We start from the raw sequence: 18,017 nt of genomic DNA, 5'->3' as shown, positions 1-18,017 counted from the left end.
TACCACCTCTTCAGTTATTACTTCTTCCTTATTCCCTCTATTCTTCTGGAACTCTTATTAGATGTATTACGTGGTCTCTCAATTTATTCTCCATGTCTTTTAATTATTATTTAAAACTTTTCATATATTTTGTGCTGCTTTCTGAGTGAATTTTATAATACTGTAATTCAGTTCATTAATTTGTTCATCAACAGTGCTCATTTCTGGTCTATTAAATTTTTAAATCTGTATTTCTATTTCAAAATTTATAATCAATGTTTTGTCCTTTCTATATAGTTCTTATTTCTGCCTGTTTGCTTGCTTTTTTTTTGAGATGGAGTCTTGCTCTGTCACCCAGGCTAGAGTGCAATGGCTTCATCTCGGCTCACTGCAACCTCCACCTCCCGGGTTCAAGCAATTCTCCTGCCTCAGCCTCCTGAGTAGCTGGGATTACAGGTGTGCACCACCATGCCCAGCTAATTTTTGTATTTTTAGTACAGACGGGGTTTCACAATGTTGGTCAGGCTGGACTTGAACTCCTCACCTCATGATCTGCCCTCCTCAGCCTCCCAAAGTACTGGGATTACAGGCGTGAGCCACCACACCTGGTCGCTTGCTTTTTTAAATGGATTTTAGCATCCCAAGCATATTTATGTTTTAGTCTTTCTCAGAATAACCCCTAAAATATATTTCTAATAAAGCAAATTATATTTGAATAACTGATTTTTACTCTGGTCTTTCTTAGCATTTTAGCTTTCTTCAAATGACTTATAATGGTTTTAGTTTGTAAGATCATTTTGAAAGGGAGATTTGTTTCTCTCTTCCCTATTTAGTAGGTTTCTGATAGCGTCTACTTAGTTTCCCCCACCCTCATGCCAGTATTTCAGTCTAGAACCAAGTCTTAGGTTTGCGGTGGGGGATTCCTGCCCTATAATGACACTGAGGATGCTTCAGATACAGTCACTAGGCCAGGAGGCAGCTTGTTCCATTTCCTAGTTGTGGTGTTATGTTTCTGTCTTCTGCCTCCCTAGGCTTCCCTCCTGCTTTTTTTTTTTTTTTTTTTGAGACGAAGTCTAGCTCTGTCGCCCAGGCTGCAGTGCAGTGGCGCCATCTTGGTTCACTGCAAGCTCCGCCTCCAGGGTTCACGCCATTCTCCTGCCTCAGCCTCCCGCCCTCCTGCTTTTATAAAAGCTATAAGCTCACATACAAGTCAAGAAGAGTTTTCTTTTTCAGCTTCCTTTCATGACCAGGTAAATATTCCTGGCTTTAATACCCCATCTCATGTGGGATCCACTTGGTCCCTATTATTCTACAGGACTGAGCTCCTAGACATGACTACTGCCTCTGCACCAGAAGCCCAGAGCACCATGGTTTTAGCCCTATTTACTTTGTTTCTGGGTCATGGAGATTTTTATCTTGTTATTGAGTCCAGTTGTATTACTTTAGTTTCTTTTTTTAAATCATCATCTATTACTGCTATATTTTTTAGTAAAAGGAATGCTTCTGAATTTACCATTTCCAGTAAAAATTTAAACTGTATCATTTTACAGTAAAGTATCACATAAAAGGTGAAGGGATATTCCTCAAGTTGAATACTAGTGTGTGTACTTATTCTTTTCTTTATCTTTTATTTTATTTCTTAAAGACAGGGTCTGCGTATGTTGCCCAGGCTGATCTCGAACTGCCAGGCTCAAGCAATGCTCTCATCTCAGTCTCCCAAGTAGCTGAGACTACGGGCATGTGTGCCACCATGCCCAGCGTGTGTGTACCTATTTATTTATACTTTTCTTTATTCCATAAATAAGGATTTGTATACAGCATTTATAATAAATAGTAAAATTTAAATAAGATATTAAAATTGAGTTTAAGGAAAATATAAATTAGAATAGATTTATATTCTATTCTATAGAATATACATAAAATTTCCATATTCACATTGCAGATGATAAGGTCCCACATATTGGGCTGTATATTTGCCTCTGAGCTTCCATATAGCCAAAGTGAATAAACACAATTGATTCCTTAGTTCTCTTTCCACAAAGAAAACCCTTCTCAGTTCTTTGAGAGAAGTCAAGTTCTTCCAGCAACACATTCTAAAATAAATTTCTGCTGTGCGTATCATAGAGAGGACACTGACAGGTGAAGTAGATGATGCCTTCAAAAACATAGCTACAATATGAGTTAGCAAGGCTGACTTTTAGAGATTCTTCAATGAAACCCTAAGGCACAATGCCCACTTCGTTAGCACATGGCAGAGTTGAGATAAACTCAGGTATGAGTCATTGTCAAATGTTCTTTAAACCTCACAACACTCCCCCCTCTCTAGGGCTTTAAAGGATCTCCACAAACCAACCCTGTATTAGATCACTTTCGTCAGCCTGAGGCAAGAGGTGAATTCCCTTATTAGTCATTTGATTGTTTTTATTGTTGTTGCAAATGACAGGAACTGAACTCAAATTAACGAAAGCATAAGAAAATTAAAATTTTTAGTTTTGTTAACTCTAAAACCCAACTGAATAATTGTAGGCAAAGAGTATACTGGCTGTAGAGACAACTGACTGCAGGGAAGTGAACACTGTCACGATCTTTTCCCCATCTTGTCTCTGCTTCCATCTTTGTGTTGGATGACCAAAGAGAAAAGAGAGCGCTTCTCCAATGGATCAAGTTACACAATCCTTGGGAGGGTTTGGTTTGGATCACATGCCCATCACATTTATTAGGCACATACTGTGTACCAAGCTCTGTACTCAAGCTCTTATGTGAATTGTATCATTCAATCTTCATGATAACTCTAAGGGAGAGGTAGAAAGCAACTGACTGAAACTAATCTCTGCCATAGGTGGTTTTGACCTTGGCCTTTCAGTTCTTTGATTCCTCACCTGCAACGATCATACCCTCCATCTCACCAAGTCACACAATCCTATGGTCATACCCTAAGGATTGTTTTCAACAACTGCAGATTCCCAATTTCAAGTGTCCTACTCTCCAATCACCACTGCCAGTACCCTAACTCCAACATTCATTGATCTCATTGGGTTTGCCAATTCACTGATCCCACCATTTTTCACTGCCTATCAACCCTCTCTTTTTTCCACCCCCACCTGCACCATCATGTACTTAACTCTCTTCTCACCTGGCTTGAAACTATGGTTCATCTGTGTCCTAGTTTGCTTCCCTCAGAAGCTGACCTTGAGACAAAGATTTGAGTGCAAGTCATTTATTTAAGAAGTGATCCCAGGAAGCATTGGGAGGGGAGTGGGAAAGTCACATAGGGAAGAGAAGGAAGTGAATACAGGGAATTTATTAAGCAGGTATGTGGAACATCCGTAGAATTATTCCCCTCTCAAGAGCAAGGAAATTGTAGTGTCCCATCCATTGTTAGCTAAAGGTTATTCTCAGGGGCTTCCTAGCACTTCAGGCCTATTCTAACATAGACCAACAAGAAGCCCTTCCACAGAGAGCTGCAGGGGCTTGGTGTGAGAAGCCAAGAACACGTGCTGTTATGGGGAGTGCAGAGTGAGGGTAGGGAATTGAGGACCATTATAGCCACTCTGTGGGAGATGCCCTTGCTCATATTTCCAGCCATTGTACTCCCCTAGTAAAATCCCAACCCTGGTGAAACCCAACCACTACCTAATCCAAGCATCTGAATGCAGTTAGAGAAAAGCACACAAACATGCTGACTGATCTCACCTTAAGGAGTCCATCAACATCAAGTGAGTCTTTAGTCAATTCCCTCTCTGACCCTCTAAGACATCAATTTCAACTTTCTCATCTCTTGTCAAACCTGTAAAACTCCCTTTCTCCTTCTCATATTTGGTTCTTGCTCCTTATTTCACTGGGAAATAGATGATATCAAAAGAGAGCTTCCACATGTTTCCAACATCTAAACACCCGAACATCAGAACACTGATATCTACTCATATACTCTCTGCCTTCTCTTGAGTTACCGTAGATCAGTGTTTCTCAACCTTTTCTTTTCATTATTGCCCCTCAAAGTGTCTTTTTAGATACCTTTTTCCTAATTGCCTCATGCCATAAGATTATGCACTGCATGTGTATCTGTGCTTTGTACATAAAAAGAGTAGGAGCCAACTTTTGTCCTCATTGAGGATACGTGCAATAGGTGAACCATCCAAGTTGCTGTGTTAGGCTAAACCCTCCCAGTGCACTGGGTTCCATCTCCTTTCACCAACTCTAGAGCGCCATTCTCACTGTTATCTGTTCTCTTTCCTGTACTAACATTTCCCCCTTTCTACTGGTTTATTCCCTTCAATCTATAAAAATATTCTATGTTCCATTTGATTAAAATCTTCCCTTAACTGCATATCTCCCTTCACTGGTCTTTCCTATTTCTCTATATCCATTACCCTTTACCAAAGACTCAAAAGACCATGTGTAGGTGTGCTGGCCAGCAGCCAGCATCACCCACCAGACATGTGAGTGAAGATGCCTCCAGACAGCGCTAGCCCCAGCCCCAGGTCTCAGAAGGGCTTTTCGTCACTTTCCTTGGAACCAAAGAGTGGAGATGCAAGAAAGACCCCTGAAGGCTAGCTATAAGAGAATTCAAACCCATTTTCACTCAGCGGAACTGTGCGGTTGCCCATGTGACCACACTTGGTAAATATTTCCTGGTTTTCACCTCAATTGGAAATGTCCACTGTGGCTTGTTGATCTTGGGTTATTTTACCTCTATGGGGACTTCTATTACTTATGAGAAAAATATCTTCCTAATGGGGTTATTGGAAGATCAAATGAGATAAAGTGAGCTTTAAGAACCTGGCACAATGAGAGGAGACAATAAATGCTCCCCCAACCTCCTTGATGCCACCTCTTGTATTTCCAGTAGAATTGGAATTTCACTGAGAGAAGGAACCATACCTACCATTCCTTTACATTCTTCATAGCCCATAGGACACTACTTTGTTTGTAATGTTTAATAAATCTTTTTTAAAAAAAATACCCCTGAATTGGACCAGAGGATAAAAAATTTCCAAAGCAAAAATAATTAAGAGCCTTGTTAGTTGAAGGCCCCTTGGTGTAGGGCTGTTTAAAAAATTGAATTAATTATAATTGTGCCAATGAGGGACACTAATGTTGATACACTTTGAATTCTTTGGTGGTGCCTCTTCTTTTGAATAAGAAATTTATTAAATATGTATAATATATGAAATATTATTGGTTTCTTTATGCACCGATTATGTGATTTAACACTTAATGCCTTGAAGTGAGGAACCAAGCATTGTGAAACATTTTGTAGCCTCAGAGATTGGAGTAATCTCTTGTACATAGGAGGGTCACACATATATTTGTTAAATAATAAAAAGAAAATAATTTAAAACATTACTGTTATTACAAGTTGACACCAAATTTGAAGATTTTGATTAAAAGAGAAACACATTTACTTCTAACATGAACACTAAAAAGTAGTATTTCACAAATTCCTTTTCATTTTGTATATTTTTCAATAAGTTTTTGTGTTTGTTTTGTGTTGAGAGGGTCAAACATTCAGTGAATGTTTGATCCACTGATTTTTTTTAATCCTTCCCCTTCAAGCAGAGGAACTTTTCCTTAGCATGGCTTTCAAAGCCCTTAACAATGTGGCTCTTCTTTATTGGTTCAGCTTCATTTCCTTCCACAATTCCTCATGCCCCTCCCCTCTCTTTCCTTTCCTTTCTCCCTCCCTTTCATACAAACATGCTCCTCTCACATCTGGGCCCTTGCTCATGTGTTTGCCTTTGCTCTCTTGGCTCTTTTCCTGGCTAACTCCCAGCAGTACCACCCTGCCTACAGTGGCCTTCCCTGACCGCCAAGACTGGGTGAGTTGCATCTCCTACAACTGTCTCCTCGAACAGAACAGAAGATCCTAGAGGGCAAGGACTGTGTCCTAATTCTTGTCCTCACAGTACAGTGCACAGTCCCTAGCAGATAAGACTCTCCAAGAACATGGCTCCTTGGCATCTTTTTTTTTTTTTTTTTTTTTTTTTTGAAACAGTCTCACTCCATTGCCCAGGCTGGAGTGCAGTGGTGTGATCTTGGCTTACTGCAACCTCTGCCTCCTGGGTTCAAGTGATTCTCGTGTCTTAGACTCCCGAGTAGCTGGGATTAGAGTGGGCCACCATACCTGGCTAATTTTTGTATTTTTAGTAGAGACAAGGTTTCACTATGTTAGCCGGGCTGGTCTCAAACTCCTAACCTCAAGTGATTCTCCCACCTTAGCCTCCCAAAGTGCTGGGATTACAGGTGTGAGCCACCACACCCAGCCTTCCTTGGCATCTTTTAACAGGTCACAAAATGTCATTGGAGATACAGTTGTTTCATTAGTTCAGTGAAATATTTTCTATATTGATAATAATTACAATAACAGGAAGGCTGAATCTTTGCCAGGTAAACTTTAGGCCTTCAATAACCATTAATAATCAATAATAAAAAGCCTAGAAGAACCTTGTAAATTACTGGAGAGCCTACTGAGAGACAAGAGCATCAGAGGGGTGGAGGAATTTTTGAAACAAAGTTATGATTTAAAAAGTAGTAGAGAAATATATGTGAATGTTTACAGCAGCATTATTCATAAGAGACAAAAATGGAAACAAGCAAATGCCCAATATGGTATATCCATATCATAGAATATTATTCAGCTATAAGAAGAAATGAAATACTGATACATGCTATAACATAGCTGGACCTTGAAAACATGCTTAGTGAATGAAGCCAGGTCACAAAAAACCACATACTATATGATTCCATTTCTAGGAAACATTCAGAATAGGCAAATCTATAAAGACAAAAAAGTAGATTAGTAGTTGGCTAGGGTCAAGAGTAGGGGAGAGAAGAATGAGGAGTGAATGCTACCAGTATGGGGTTTATTTTTGAAGTGATGAAAATGTTCTAAAATTAGATTGTGGTGATGGTTGCACAGCTCTGTGTATACTAAAAGCCATTGAACTGTACAGTTTAACTGGTTGAATTTTATGGTATATGAGTTATATCTCAATAAAGTTAATTTTTTTTTTTTTTTTGAGACAGAGTCTCACTCTTGTCACCCAGGCTGGAGTGCCATGGTACGATCTTGGCTCATTGCAACCTCTGCCTCCCAAGTTCAAGTGATTCTCCTGCCTCAGCCTGCAGAGTAGCTGGGACTACAGGTGCTTTCCACCATGACTGGCCAATTTTTCTATTTTTAGTAGAGACAGGGTTTCATCATGTTGACCAGGCTGGCCTTGAACTCCAGACCTCAGGTGATCCACTCGCCTTGGCCTCCCAAAGTGCTGGAATTACAAGTGTGAGCCACCGCACCCAGCCAATAAAGCTGATTTTTAAAAGTAGTACGGAATATTTGTTGCAAAGTTAAATATCAAGAGGCTGTGAAAAAAGTAATTTTCTACATAATCTTTGCTGATATAGTTCTACTTTGTGCTTTTTGGTAAATGAAAAGCCAAATCTCTAAAATCTGGGCCTTGAAACCCTGTGCACACAGGCCAGAAAGCCCCCCACTCAGTGTTGACCAGCCAAGTGGGTGAGAAGTCGCAATTACAGGATGCTAAAGATGACAGCAAAGCTGGTGCTGTGTGATGAACTCAAGGAAGAGAGCTGTAAATGAGGTGAGTGAAATGATTATTCGAAGGACATAGCATAATTAAGGGAAACAGCAAAATTACGTTTACAGTGTAAAACGTAAACATATACCTGGAAACTGACAGCTTGTAGAAAACGCAACTGTTTTTGTTGTAGACATCTCTCTGGCTAGCCGTCATATTTGGAAAGCATTCATTTCTGGCATCAATATAGTCGGGTGTAGTAGGAAGGAATCTGGTCTAGGTCTTGGGACACCCAGGTTCCAGTTCTGGCTCTCTCATTTATTCGCCGTTCAACAAACAACTATTAAGGCTACTGTGTGCTAGGCACCGCAGCTAGCCCTGGTGACTCAAAGTTCAAAGACGCACTTGTTCCTACCTCGAGGATCGTACTGTTCAGAGAAAGACAATTCAAAATATAGTAAGTGCTGTGGCAAGGAGCAAGGTACATCTTCCATCTTGAGGCATGAAGAAAGAAGGAGTAGGTGTGAGGGAAAGCCTTGCCACAACTTGAAGTTGTATTGTTTCCTTGTTAACTCTTTTTTTAAATATAGTTTTTGTAGAGACAGGGTCCCACTATATTACCTAGGCTGTTCTTGAACTCCTGGCCTCCAGCGATCCTTCCAGGCCTCCCAAAGCTCTGGGATTACAGGCTTGACCAGCGGCCACTGGCAGCCACCTTGTTAACTCTGCTGTCCCACAAGCATATCAGCTCATTGAGGAAAAGGAGGCTTTTTTATTACATTCATTTTTTATAAACAGCTTTATTAAGACATCACTCACATAGCACACAATTCACTCATTTAAAGTATATGATTCAATGGTTTTTAGTATGTTCACAGAACTATACAATCATCACTGCAATCTAATTTTACAGCATTTTCATTACCACAGAAAGAAACCCTGTACCCATGAGCTGTCACTCCCCTTCCCACCCCATCTCCACTCCCAGACGTTGCCAAACACAAATCCACTTTCTATCTTTATAGATTTGCTTATTCTAGATGTTACATATAATGGAATCACACAGTATGTGACCTTTGTGACCGACTTCTTTCACTTAGCATAATGGTTCAAGATTCAGTATTCATCCATATGGCAGCATGTTTCAATACTTCATTAATTTCATGGCTGAATAATATTCCATTGTATAGATACGCCACTGTTTATCATTCATCAGTTGGTGGGCATTTGGGATGTTTCTACTTCATGGTCTTATGAATGCTATGAACATTTGTGTAAACGTTATTGGGTGGACATATGTTGCTATTTCCCTTGGGTATATACCTAGAAGTGGAATTGCTGGATCATGTGGTTACTCTGTCTAATCTTTAGAGGTGTTAATACTACCAGATTGCTTTTCAGAATGACTGCACCATTTTACATTCTTGCCAGCAATATATGAAGATTCCAATTTCTCTACATCCTTAGGAACACTGGTTATTTTCTGTCTTTTTGATCATAGCCCTCTTAGTGGGTATGAAGTGGTCACTTTATTCATTTTTGTATCCCTGGTGCCTCAAAGACAACATGGCACAGGTAGATGCACAATTTATTTGTTGAGCAATTTTGAGAACATGGTGGACATTTGTCATTTAGGGGCTCCCCAGAACCTGGCCCCCTTTATTTTGTTTAGATAATTATCTGAGGATTACTGGAGAGAAGCAGATCCCCACTATAATATAGAAGGCTACCAAAATGTTAGCTCCTTACTTTCTCAACCCTGCCTGCAAGCAGAGCATGCAACATAGGCTAAGCTTGGTTGACCTAATAGATCTGCCCCGGGCTTCAAAGACAGGGCTCTAGTAATGCAAAATACGGGTGGTGGAGAAACAATTCTGGTGGCAGTAACAGGCACTGCAGTGACATCTGATTGCCAGGAGCAACAGTGCTGATAGTGAGAGTGGTGGGTAGCGAATGGTGGGTAATGCCCAGTGACACTGACTTGGAAGTGAAGGCCATGGCATCCTGTGTGGAATGGTGGTGGCAGTGATGGTTGCCTTCCTCCCTCAGTATGTGGTCCTGTGTCTTGGCTGTCTTCCTGGCTGCTGCCTAGCCTTCCTTGTTTCTTCTGCTTATTGTCTGAGCCTGTTTCTGCAGGGGCCTTCCCAGCAATTGTGTCAGCCACCCAATATCCTTTCACCAAATTCTCTTTCTCCTTAAGTCAGCCAACATCAATTTCTTCTGTTGCTTGCAACTAAGAACCTGGCTGTTACAATAAACACTGAATGGCTGAGTGTGTGTGTGTGTGTGTGTGTGTGTGTGTGTGCGCACGTGTTTGTGTGTGTGTGTCTTTGTATGTATGAATAGAGAGGTCAATGAATGAATGAGGGTACTGAAACTCTATACAGAGCTTCGAAGGGTGAGCAGAGGTTGGTCAGGCACCATAGGGCAAGTGCTTTCTAGCAGAACAAAGAGCACAGCATAGGCACTGGGGAATGAGAGAACATGGTGATTATGGAAACTGTCAGGAGTTCAGTCTGGCTGGGGAAAAGGGAGCAAGATGGGGAGTGTTGAGATGTGACACTACGGAGACTGGCCTGGGATGGATCATTAAGGATCTTTTAGGTTATGCTAAAGAGTCTTGATTTTATCCTGGAAAAAAAAAACAGGAAGAAGGACACTATAAATCAAGGTAGTGATATCAGATTTACATTTAGAAAATATGCTATTAAAAAAATTCTGGCAGCAGGGAGGAGGATGAATTGGAAGGGAGCAAGAGTAGAGACAAGAAGACCAGCTGAGGAGCTAAAGCAATACTTCCAATGAAAGACAGTGAAGTCTGAACCGAGGCAGTGAGCTTGGAGAGGAGGCATTGGATCTGAGATATATTAAAAAGGTAGAACCAATGGAAATTTTGTCTTTGATATACAGGAATTAAGAAAGAAGGAAGACCATGGATGACTCCAAGGTTTCTGTTTAAGCAGATCCGACAGGTGGTGGTGTCATTTATGCAGGCATTTATTCAACAGAAGTTTAATTAGCACATAGTGTGGTAGCTGCTGTGTATAATGAAGTGGATAAAATAAACCTGGTTCTACCTTTGCTGTAGTAATGATTACCCTATGTCAGCCTTAATTTACATGTCTTCTCAGATTTTCTGAGCCTTACCATCTCTGGGACCCTTAACCTCTTCTTCTGTTTCAGCTGCTACCAGTAGAGACTTAGTTAAGTTCCTTGTGGTTTAACTGCCTGAAGCCAACCAGCCACATACCCACAGTTTCCTCCCACCGCTTCTGAACTCCAGGGCATGGGACCTGGCTTTCTGAGTGACTGTTAAAGAAAATGGATAACCCAACTGGGAAGTGAGAAAATTTTAACTCCCTGAGGGAAAAGCTATGACCAACAGGAGACAGGAGACACAAAGATAAAATTCCTTCCTTATTCACATTGTTTTATGGTGTGATTTCTTCATACTGCCTGTCTGGAGATGTCCTGTATGGTCAAGTGGCTGTACCTGCCCAAGAGACAGGCTGTATTTCTTTAAGGCTTTTCATGGAGTAGTGTTTAGCACAGCAATGCATTGCTGTACCTTGTTCCCCATTTTTTCTTATCTTTTTCCTCATACTGTTGCCCTGGGATTATACCTTCTAAAAAACGCATCAATACTTAATCCTTGCATCAGGGTTTGTTTTCTAGGGAACTGGGCTAAGACATACTCAGATAGGAAAACAGAAGGAGGTCATCAGTTCCATTTGGATATGCTAAGTTTGAGTGAACTTGAGTGAAAATTATTCATCCATTCAAAAATACTTATTGAGTGCCTCCATATATGCTTGAATTAGGGATACTATGGTGAACAAAACAGACATATTTCCTGCTCTTTTAGAGCTTACATTAAGTGTTAAGGGTTGACAAGTAATAATTCAGTACAGAATAAGTAGACGTGATGATTCTACAAAATGATAAAAGTTTTTAAAGAAAAAATTTTAAAGGTGATGTGGTAGAGTGTGACATGTGTATGTTGGGAGGGACGTGTGTATGTATGACCACCCTAGACAGGGTGGTCAAGGGAACAGAGAGTAAGTGGAGGAAAAAGCTTCTCCAGAGGGATAGGCAAGGCTTTTGAAGAAAGTGGCTGGAAGGGTCAGTCTGGAGACAGATACATCTGTCCATCACTGGGGGTTCAGGCGTGGGTAGGAAATTTGCCTCTATTTTCACCACGAAATAGTTGGTGAGGACATATGCATATAAAGTAATGGGAACTTGGAGTTTTGTAGAGCAGCAAAGGTTCAGAAGTGTTGTTTTGCAGCATGGGTGTGCATGCAGACCAGGAACAGGAAGAAGAGTCAGTGGGCAGTGCCAGAGCAGAAAAGGTGGATACTACCTGCACAATCCATGGCACTAAGTGGTCACAGGACTTTGGAGAAGTAAGCCTGGGCCTCAGTTTCCTCAACTGCAAAATAAGAGCACTGAATCAGGCTCCACGATTTTACAAAGGAAAAGAGGAGTTGATATGAAACTACTATATAGCTATGCAATTTTTCCTTGAAACTCACCAGTGAAGTCTTTAGGACCCAGTAGTAATTGGCTCTCCCCCACCATTAATTACATTCTGGCCACTTGTCAGCTAACACAATTGTCAGACTCCTTCAGCAAAATGTCTTTTTCATAGCAAGGACCATTTACAGTAAGGACAAACAATTGGGACTCATTAATTCAATAATTAGGACACTGCTTATGCATCTATTGTCTACTCTAGTCAGCTATGTTAAGTAAGCTCTTCAGTCTTCATCACAGCAATTATGCTAATAAGCTTGAAATTTTCCAAGAGTATTAAACCTTCATACACTTATCCTGCCTAGCAGCAGCCTGGCTCAGTCAATATTGTCACCCACAGACAATTATAATGAAAGCATAAGGCCCAATTGTTGGCATGTGACTACCAAATAATCTCCCCTCACAACAGAACTTCAAACAATTTGTATATTGTTCTTTCAGGGTTTAGACACTGGCCTTTGTTATTCTTTTCTCAAAATATGTACATCTCAGATATTTAAATGCCTTTATGGGAGAGCTCATTGCATTGGAATTGTATTGTAATTTTCCAAATAATATTTGAACAGTCACTGAGTTATCCAATGATCTATTCATCTAATCATTATTTATCCATTTAAGTGTAGAGATAAGAAATATAATAGTAAGATGCCTGGAGAATGATGAGAAATATAATTTGTTTTGCCATATATTTTTGTCTTTATCCGAGCCAACTTCTCTTTTAATCTCTTTCTCTCTTTAATTATAAAAAATCCTGTCTTATTTTTTTTGAGTGACTTTGGCCAAAGAGTGAGAATTTTCCACTATGATCAACCAATGCTTCTGTGGTAGGTGCATGACAGACACCTGATGAACACTTGTTACATTTGAAGTTTTTTTCTCATATATGCCTTATTCCTGTCTCCTGCATTTCCTATCAGATGTGAAATACTATTTCTTTTTAGCAAAAACTAACATGAATAAGGATTGTGTGTTGGGGGGGGCGCATATGTTCAAATCTGCAACATAAATTCATTTGGAACCTGAAATTTCATTGTATCAATATAAATATCTAGCTGGTGTTGGATTTCTTCCTTATTATTTACAATAAAAGTAAGCCCATGCATTTGTTCTTTAAAATTTTTACTTATCTCATTTAATCAGGGTCCTCTCAGTTGCAAATAACTGGATCTTTCCTTAAGATGTAGTAATGCTCACTGCAATTTAATCCCACTAGGATGAGCAAATGATGTTGAAAAGAGACCCAACAGTTGTATGGAGGGCCACTATAAACCGGAAGAATGGGCGCAAAGCTGTGTAGAATGTTTGCAGATCTGTGACATGTTTTTCTTTTATACAAATGCTGTATTTCATCTTTCTTCAATTACTTAGTATTTTGGTAAGGGTAGGGGAAGACAAGTGAAAATAAGTTGTCCTTGTCCTTCAGGAACTTACAATCTAGATGGGGAGACAATATATATACACAGGAGAAGCTGGAAAAAAAAACTGCTCAAGACTAAATGAATGGTATGTATATCATCGTAAGTATAAGAGAGAAAATTCATATGTGAATGGTATAGCTTTGGGCTGGGGAAGCCAGAAAGGGCTTTAAAGATTTACCAGAAGGGGAGAATATGAGTTGTTTTTTGAAAGATCATGACTGTGTGTGTGTGGTGTGTGTGTGTGTGTGTCTTTGTATGTATGGATAGAGAGTTCAATGAATAAATGAGGGTACTGAAGCTCTATACAGAGCTTCCAAGGATGAGCAGAGGTTGGTCAGGCACCATAGGGCAAGTGCTTTCTAGCAGAACAAAGAGCACAGCATAGGCACTGGGGAACGAGAGAACATGGTGATTAGGGAAACTGTCAGGAGTTCATTCTGGCTGGGGAAAAGGGAGCAAGGTGGGGAGTGTTGAGATGTGACACTACAGAGACTGGCCTGGGATGGATCATTAAGGATCTTTTAGGTTATGCTAAACAGTCTTGATTTTACCCTGGGGAAAAAAAAACTGGAAGAAGGAAACTATCAATCAAGGTAGTGATATCAGATTTACATTTAGAAAATATGCTATTAAAAAAAATTCTGGCAGCAGGAAGGAGGATGAATTGGAAGGCAGCAAGAGTGGAGGCAAGAAGACCAGCTGAGGAGCTAAAGCAGTACTTCCAATGAAAGACAATGAAGTCTGAACCAAGGCAGTGAGCTTTTTCAAAAAAATCAAACTACAGAAGAAATAATGATGAAATTTAAATTTTCCACTTATGACCCTCAGGCTCTTTCCAGAAGCAACCACCATTATCATTTTTCTTTCGTGTCTTTCCAGTGCACTTAACTACTTTTGAATTGGATTCTGAATTGATTTGGATGTAATTGATTTTGCAGTGTCATGTTTAATGAAGGGTTAAACTTGGTCTCTATCCATATAAAAATAAGACTCATTCAATCTAATTTATACAATAGGGACCTACTGATAGATCTTGAGGTACCCTAGTGGATTTCCAAGCTGTTTGTTGCCATAGCAATCCCTGCTCTATGTGCCTTCAGTTTCTGTCTTGACCCACTTTGGTTTAGATGCATTTCTAGCAGAGGGGACAGTAGGCATGCTCCCATTTCTAAGCCCCTTGGGGACTGCATTGGTAGCCAGATTGTCCCTTCTCCCTCTTCCTCAATTGTAGATCCTGGAAGGCTTCCTAAATGGAAGAGTTATGGACCCAAAGTCTGAGACTTTGGAGAAATGGTCTAACTTAGACCTCAGGCGTACTACCCACTTAATTAATGTAACCTCAAAGTACCTAACTTCCATACTAGGAGCACATTCTGGAATCCCAGCCAGGCCTGCTTTGGTTCCTATTTCTACTACTCAGGTGGACACCCAAATCCACACCCTGTTCACACAGGAGAAAATACTTGTGTGACCAGGGTAGCTTTTAATATGCTACTTCATATTACAACTGTTGACTTGTATTAGCAGGAAGACAGACCAAAAACAAGAAACAGCCTTCCTACTTGTAAGTTGAACAGCCTTTGCCCTGGACCGTCCTCCCTAGTGGCTCTGGAAAGAGGAAACAAGGCAGAGGAGGTGGGACAGCTCCACCAAATGGCTTCCTGGGTGTCCTTCACAAACTTTTTTATTTTTATTAAGGGGTTAGTAGAGCTGCCTCTAAACTAACAATGGAAGAAACCACCCTGGAAGGGAATTTTTGGAGGAAGAATTTCTGCTGAGTAGGTTCGTCTCAGCATAAATGTTCGCACGCAACAGAAGAGAAGTTAATGATCACTGACTTTCCTTGAACTTCAAAGCCCTATGTTATTTACTTTCATATTTATTATTTAATCATCACACAACTATATTTAAGTAGGTATCGTTGCAGGTGAGTTCCATTTGCCAAAGATTACAGATCTGGAACAGAGTCGTACTCAAAGCTACAACGTGCCTGACTCCTGGGTTTATGCTCTTCATCGCAACCTTCCCGTGAGAAAAGTTCCTCTATGTGTGAGGACAGAGACGGTGGAAAGGACAGAGATTTTGAAAGGACATCTGGAAAACTTGTATGACTCAGGGGATGGCCACATCTCTCTTAAGGTCCATCTGAAGGCACCCTCCTCTGGGACACGTTCATTTCTCAGAAGAAAGCGTATACTTCAAAAACTCTTACTGTTTGGAGTGCTCATTTGGTACTTCCTGATTACCGATTTGTATTGCTAGTGCTTCTTTCCCGCTTATTTGAAGTCCCCAATTAAATCTATAAACTAAGCCACACATGAGAATGAATTACTGGACAGGCAGCCAAAAAAAAACTGTGTTCTAGTCTTGTCTCTGGCACCTGTGTGAAACCTAAGTTTCTTTTCAACTTTAGTTCTACGGTACTCCCTGCCTGTGTCACAGTGGGTGCATAGTAAACACCTGATGTGATTAGTTGGGCTCAATATTTTGTCAGCAGAGGCTTGGGTGTTCCTAAGGGTAACCGCAACAAGGTTTTCCCTGGGTGCAGTTATGTTCTGGGCAGCCGTAAGTTTAGGGCCTTGCTGCCTCCTGTAGGGCAGATGTGCAAGTTGGGGCCTAATCGTCGCAACAGTGGAGAAAAGGGGAAGGGAAGATATCCCAGCCATTAAGGGACATCGTGACAGATGTTTCTTTTAGACTTCACAAAGACCCTTCGGGACATGGATTATTGATATCATTTTTACTGAAGACGGAACCAAAATTTAGGTTAAACACTTATACCTGGCATCCCCTACCCGGGCCCTAAGTGCTCTCCAAAGACCCCACCTCTGGGCTTATTTACATCGCGAACCCGCCCTCGTTCAGCAACACGAGGGCCCCGCCCGCTCATTTGCATAGGGCGCGCCCAGTCACGGGCCGGGTCCTCGGGCTTCTCCCGAACCCCTTTTCTCTCTCAGGCGCGTCCTCCGCGCTGCGCGGGGCCTCCCCGTGGGATGAGCACGTGTCCGCTGCCGGCCTCACGACGGACGGTGGACGAGGCGGCAGGCCCCTACAGGCCCCACCCACGACGCTGGCGAGGGATCGGGCGGTCACCGGGAATCGTCTTAATGCGCGGCAAGGCGCGGGCCTCTCCCTCTCCGCCCGTGAGCCCCGGTGGGAGCGCGCCGGCGCCCAACTCAAGCGAAACCGCGGGCGTCCCGCCCCGCCCGGCCGCGCCCCGCCTCGCCTCACGCTAGACTGGGGAGGCGGGACCAATCAGCGAGCGACGTCTCCCTTCCGATTCGAGGCCCCCGATGCGCGGCTCACACCCCGAGCTTCCCTCGTGCTGATTGGCTGCGGGCGCCGCCGGTCCGGCCGGGAGGCGGGGCGGGCCGTAGGCAAAGGGAGGTGGGGAGGCGGTGGCCGGCGACTCCCCGCGCCCCGCTCGCCCCCCGGCCCTTCCCGCGGTGCTCGGCCTCGTTCCTTTCCTCCTCCGCTCCCTCCGTCTTCCATACCCGCCCCGCGCGGCTTTCGGCCGGCGTGCCTCGCGCCCTAACGGGCGGCTGGAGGCGCCAATCAGCGGGCGGCAGGGTGCCAGCCCCGGGGCTGCGCCGGCGAATCGGCGGGGCCCGCGGCCCAGGGTGGCAGGCGGGTCTACCCGCGCGGCCGCGGCGGCGGAGAAGCAGCTCGCCAGCCAGCAGCCCGCCAGCCGCCGGGAGGTGGGTGCGTGGCGCCGCGGCGGCCGGCGGCCGAGGGCGGAGGGCGGAAGCGGAGGTGGGCTGGCGGGGGAGGGCGCGGCCGTGCGGGCGGCCGGTAGGGCTGCGGGCGCGCGCCTGAGGGGAGGAGGGGCAGCGCGGGCGCGCGCGTCCTCACCCCCTCCTTCCCCGCGGGCGGCGGCCAGGCTCCCTCCCCTCCCCTTCCCTCTCCTCCCCTCCCCTCCCCTCTCTTCCCCTACCCTCCCGCGCGCCCGGGCCGCCGGCCGGGCCCGGGCCTGGGGGCGGGGCGGGAAGACGGCGGCCGGGAGTGTTTTCAGTTCCGCCTCCAATCGCCCATTCCCCTCTTCCCCTCCCAGCCCCCTCCATCCCATCGGAAGAGGAAGGAACAAAAGGTCCCGGACCCCCCGGATCTGACGGGGCGGGACCTGGCGCCACCTTGCAGGTAAAGCCTGGGCGCCCGCGGGCCTCCAGCTAGGGAAGTGTTTGCGTGCGTCCGCGGCCGGGGCGATGGGCCGTGTCACATGGCCGCTGCGGGTGGGGGCTGGGGTGTGGTGAGTTCGGGGGCTGTGGGTGCGCCGGCCCGGGCGTGCGGGTTCGGGGCCGGAGAGCCGGGAAGGGACGGGGCTCGGTTGCACTGCGCTGCCGCCCAGGCTGACGGGGGCGGGGGCTGCCTGCGTCCCTTCCCCTCGCTGCTCTCACACTCCATAGTTTGTGGTTCTGATTTTTAAAGCCGAAGGGCCAGAGCTCTTGTTTCAGGAGTTGTGGGGAAGCCTTGTTAGGGACGCGTAATACTTTGCCTCCACTTTTTTTTTTTGGTCTCGTAACCTTTGTTAACAGTGGTAGTCTCGGGT

The 18,017-nt window shown here is 43.6% G+C and overlaps 1 protein-coding gene and 1 long non-coding RNA gene across 7 annotated transcripts in view, besides 2 other annotated features; both read left to right on the top strand.

The window, feature by feature from the left end:
• The first annotated feature begins 7,208 nt into the window (after window positions 1–7,208).
• Window positions 7,209–15,781, top strand: LOC124904297 (uncharacterized). The gene is made up of 2 exons (XR_007066360.1): window positions 7,209–7,580; window positions 13,477–15,781. It is a non-coding gene; the product is annotated as an uncharacterized LOC124904297 (long non-coding RNA).
• Window positions 16,392–17,321: a silencer, noted in NCBI's record as "silent region_9428". NCBI's record gives its function as "represses an Ori minimal core promoter by ATAC-STARR-seq in GM12878 lymphoblastoid cells {active_cell/tissue: GM12878}" and the evidence as "EXISTENCE:reporter gene assay evidence [ECO:0000049][PMID:35858748]".
• The window catches only part of SMAD2 (SMAD family member 2), a 121,916-nt gene continuing 120,995 nt past the window's right edge, over window positions 17,097–18,017 (top strand). For 3 of the 6 annotated variants that reach the window (NM_001135937.3, NM_001003652.4, XM_047437508.1), the window contains exon 1: window positions 17,097–17,169. The gene's annotated coding sequence lies outside the window, so the exon portion shown is untranslated. Of the gene's footprint in view, window positions 17,170–17,309; window positions 17,609–18,017 lie in introns of those variants that run through there. The other 3 variants (XM_017025749.2, XM_047437507.1, NM_005901.6) reach the window with 2 other exon arrangements.
• Window positions 17,352–17,881: a silencer, noted in NCBI's record as "silent region_9427". NCBI's record gives its function as "represses an Ori minimal core promoter by ATAC-STARR-seq in GM12878 lymphoblastoid cells {active_cell/tissue: GM12878}" and the evidence as "EXISTENCE:reporter gene assay evidence [ECO:0000049][PMID:35858748]".

Source organism: Homo sapiens, chromosome 18 (assembly GCF_000001405.40).
Source record: "Homo sapiens chromosome 18, GRCh38.p14 Primary Assembly".
NCBI lineage: Eukaryota > Metazoa > Chordata > Mammalia > Primates > Hominidae > Homo > Homo sapiens.
Note: the sequence above shows the minus strand (reverse complement) of the source record. Positions and strands in the feature narration are given on the sequence as shown.